This window comes from Homo sapiens, chromosome 21 (assembly GCF_000001405.40).
Source record: "Homo sapiens chromosome 21, GRCh38.p14 Primary Assembly".
NCBI classification, from domain to species: Eukaryota; Metazoa; Chordata; class Mammalia; order Primates; family Hominidae; genus Homo; species Homo sapiens.
In genome coordinates this window covers 19,117,815-19,121,856 of record NC_000021.9, presented here as the reverse complement: position 1 = coordinate 19,121,856, position 4,042 = coordinate 19,117,815, and the positions used below count along the sequence as shown (strand labels likewise).

At 40.6% G+C, this 4,042-nt stretch overlaps 1 annotated feature.

Moving 5' to 3' along the window:
* Positions 933–1,882: an enhancer, noted in NCBI's record as "OCT4-NANOG-H3K27ac-H3K4me1 hESC enhancer chr21:20492293-20493242 (GRCh37/hg19 assembly coordinates)". NCBI's record gives its function as "activates a minimal SCP1, AML or CMV promoter by ChIP-STARR-seq in naive H9 embryonic stem cells {active_cell/tissue: H9 hESC(naive)}" and the evidence as "EXISTENCE:reporter gene assay evidence [ECO:0000049][PMID:30033119]".

The window sequence follows — 4,042 nt, the reverse complement described above, 5'->3', positions numbered from 1 at the left end:
TTAAATTGGTTAAATGTGGAAATGGAAGCTTCCTGACAAGTGTAAGCTAAACTGGCTCTCACTGGGCAAGAAAAAGACGAGTAGCATGAGAATTTAATGTAAGGATGTTTCAAATGCCAACAAGTGGATGTGAAAAGGTATTAAATTACAAGAGCTTTTTTTATCAAGTAACTGAAAAATTAATAGAAGAAAGATAAAATGTCACATAGAAAAAATTAAATTCACAGAGGCAGAAGCAAATTTTATGAAAGATAAACGCTAACACTTAACCAATCCGTATTAGTGGATTTCCAACTTCAGCTGCAATTTTTTTTTTTTTTTTTTTGAGACGGAGTCTCGCTCTGTCGCCCAGGCTGGAGTGCAGTGGCGGGATCTCGGCTCACTGCAAGCTCCGCCTCCCGGGTTCACGCCATTCTCCTGCCTCAGCCTCCCAAGTAGCTGAGACTACAGGCGCCCGCCACTACGCCCGGCTAATTTTTTGTATTTTTAGTAGAGACGGGGTTTCACCGTTTTAGCCGGGATGGTCTCGATCTCCTGACCTCGTGATCCGCCCGCCTCGGCCTCCCAAAGTGCTGGGATTACAGGCGTGAGCACCGCGCCCGGCCTCAGCTGCAATTTTAAAGAGCTTAATAGTCATCACTTATATTCTTCTAACAAGAAATGATTGTACAAACTGAAAATCAGTGGTGGTTCTTGAAGAGCTGAGGTTGTTGGGCAAATTGTTACCTTGAAATCTGGAAATCCTTAAAAAAGTGCCCATGCAGAGAATCAGAGCTGAGATCTGCTTACAAGGAGAAGAATCTCATAGAATCTTAAATGAATGTTACCAAAAAAAAGGGAGTTCATTTACCTGGAGTAACAAATGACTCTCCACAAGAATGCAGGTTTCGATCAATAGGAATTTTATTACTTTCCACAAGTAAGGAGTGCATGGGGTGTGTTCTCCAAGGCAGTGTCTCCCTGAAAGAGGGTTTCATGGGGCAGTGAGAGGGGAGAGGGTGCATCATTGCATGTAGAGGAGAGGTCCCGGGGGGGAGCAGATGCAGTAAGTCATTATGCTCACACAAAGGTTGCATGTTATGATAATGAAGCTGTTGCTCTTCACAGGGTGGAGATTTTAGCATGATAATAGGAAAAGTTTACTTGGGTTAATCTGTAATTTGCTAGGATCTGTTAGGAGCTTGCTCCAGGCAATTAGGTGAACACATTCTACACAGAGTTTGGGGAAAAATGAAACCGCCGTTTAAAAAAATTATTACAGTGAGAAAATTATGGCAGTGAAAGAGATTTAACCTAACTGACTCCATCTTACCTCTAACCCTCAACCTGCCTTGTTATCCTGGGCATAGGCTGAACTAACTTTGGGAAGAACTTCATTTATAATTTGACTTTGAAACAGACTGTAACAGCCCTTTCCCAAACAAGCCCCCTTCTTGCCTGTGACCAGATTGCCTTTGTAAGACTAACACATTAGCCACAAGATAAGAAATTATGGTTTAGGGGTCACGCAGCAAGAGACCACTAGATTCAGAACATCCCCAATTGTTCCCAGGAATAATATCACTACTGTAAAATCTAATATTGGTGCTTAAGATACTTTCTAGATCCTGCATTCAGAGCGCCAGCTGGCACCACCCAGACCTGTAATCTAGCTCAACCAGTTCTGTGAATCCACCCAGGAACAGAAGACAGGAAAAAGTACCCACTTTGACCCTCTTGATTTTGTCACCTACCTGACCAATCAGCACTCCCAACTCCCTGGCCCACTGCTCACCAAATTAGCCTTAAAAAACGCAGTCTCCAAATTTTGGGAGAGATAAATTGAGTAATAAAACTCTGGTCTTCCATTTAGCTGGCTCTGTGTGAATTAAACTCTTTCTCTATGGCAATTCCCCTGTCTTCATAAATTGGCTCCATCTGAGCAGTGGGCAAGAACTCATTGAGTGGTTACAAAAACAGGCTGCAAAGCCATAAAACAGGCTGATTGCTCAAGTTGATTACATTCTTATAGTTCCTGGAGACTCTCCCTGTCTTTCTACACTGATAGGAAGACATGAATGGTAACTTTTTCACCAGAAAGGGGTCCCACTCAAGACCCCAAGAGAGGGTTCTTGGACCTTGTGCAAGAACGAATTGGAGGTGAGTCCATAAAGTTAAAGCAAGTTTATTAAAATCGTAAAGGAATAAAGGAACGGCCACTCCATAGGCAGAGCAGTGGTGTGGGCTGCTCAACTAATTATACTTATAGTTATTTCTTGATTATATGCTAAATAAGGGGTGGATTATTCATGAGTTTTCTGGGAAAGGCAATTCCCAGAACTGAGGGTTCATCCCCTTTTTAGACCACATAGAGTAACTTCCTGACATTGCCATAGCATTTGTAAACTGTCATGGTGATGGCGGGAATGTCTTTTAGCATGCTAATGACTTACAATTAGCATATAATGAGCAGTGAGGACAACCAGAAGTCACTTTCATCGCCATCTTGGTTTTGGTGGGTTTCGTGGGCCTCTTTAACGACTTGTATCTTGAGCCAACCTCCTATCTCATCCTGTGACTTAGAATGCCTAACCTTCTGGGAATGCAGCCAAGTGGGTCTGAGCCTCATTTTATCCAGCCCCTATATAAAATGGAGTTCCTCTGGTTCAAACACTTCTGACAAGTTGAACAAATTAACAAATTACTAGATGCAAAGTGTGGACTGGTGTAAGAATGATAAACTAGGGGCTGCAGTTTTCAGGTGGGTAGGATATATATTTATGGGCAATCTCTCCAAGAGTCCCTAGTAAATATCTGAGAATAATTTCCTATTGGTTCTGGCAGAGAGAGGGGAAAAGAAACAGTTCTGAAATACACCCAAAGTCTTCTCCATAACAAAGGCTTACTCCCAAGAGAAACCGTTTAACTAGAGCCTTATTCCACCTTAAGAAAAGGTAATTTCTCCAGTCTAAAATCCTCTAGATTTTCTGTTTCACCTAAAGGAAGAAGAAAAGCTAAGAAACACTTGTGAAAGTCACAGCACAGGAAAATAGATACATTAAAAGAATGAGATTTAATAATAAGATTACACACTGGTTTCTCTACCCCACAATTTACCCCCAGGCCAGTAAAGACTCAGTAGAAAAACAGTGGATTATAGCTGAAATAGCTGCAAGACACAGACTTTATGAGACTAGTACTTAAGGGATCCCAAAATCAACAGGGGAGACAAAAATAAGGTCACCAGAGGAATTTGAAATCTGTGTACATATAATGCCAACATTAAATACAGCCCAGCTCCAAGCCAGGCTAACATAAAACCTTCCATTAAAGCCTGTTTAGCTCAGTTACTGTTACCCAATACATCATGTCCAGCTTTCAACCAAACATTATTAGGTATTGATATGTTTAGGCTTCCTGTCCCCACCCAAATCTCATCTTGAGTTGTAGTTCCCATAATTACTACCTGTCAAGGAAGAGACCAGGTAGAGGTAATTGGATCATGTGGTAGGTTTCTCTATACTGTTCTCATAATAAGTGAGTGAGTTCTCACAAGATCTGATGGTTTATAAGTGTTTGATAAGTTACTTCTTTGGTCGTTCTCTCTCCTGCCACCTTGTGAGGAAGGTGCATGCCTCTTCTTCCCTTCCGCCATGATTGTAAGCTTCCTGAGGCCTCCATAGTCATATGGAACTGTGAGTCAATTAAACCTCTTTGCTTTATAAATTACCCAGTCTCAGGCAGTTCTTATAGGAATGTGAGAATGGACAAATGCAGACATATTAATTTCTTTTTTTAAAAAAGCAAGCTTAAGAACCAAACTTAGATAAAACACACACTTTGGGATTATCAGGCAGGACACTTAAAATAACTACTGTTAATTTGTTAAGGGCATTAACAAACTTTAGAGATATTAATCTAACTATAGCCATAATCATTTTAAATGCAGATAGTCTAAACATGCTAATTTAGAAGCAGAGATTGTCAGAGATAAAATAATGAATAAACTACACATTCTTAAACAATCAATAAATAAAAGAAGAAATCACATTAGCCTGCTATT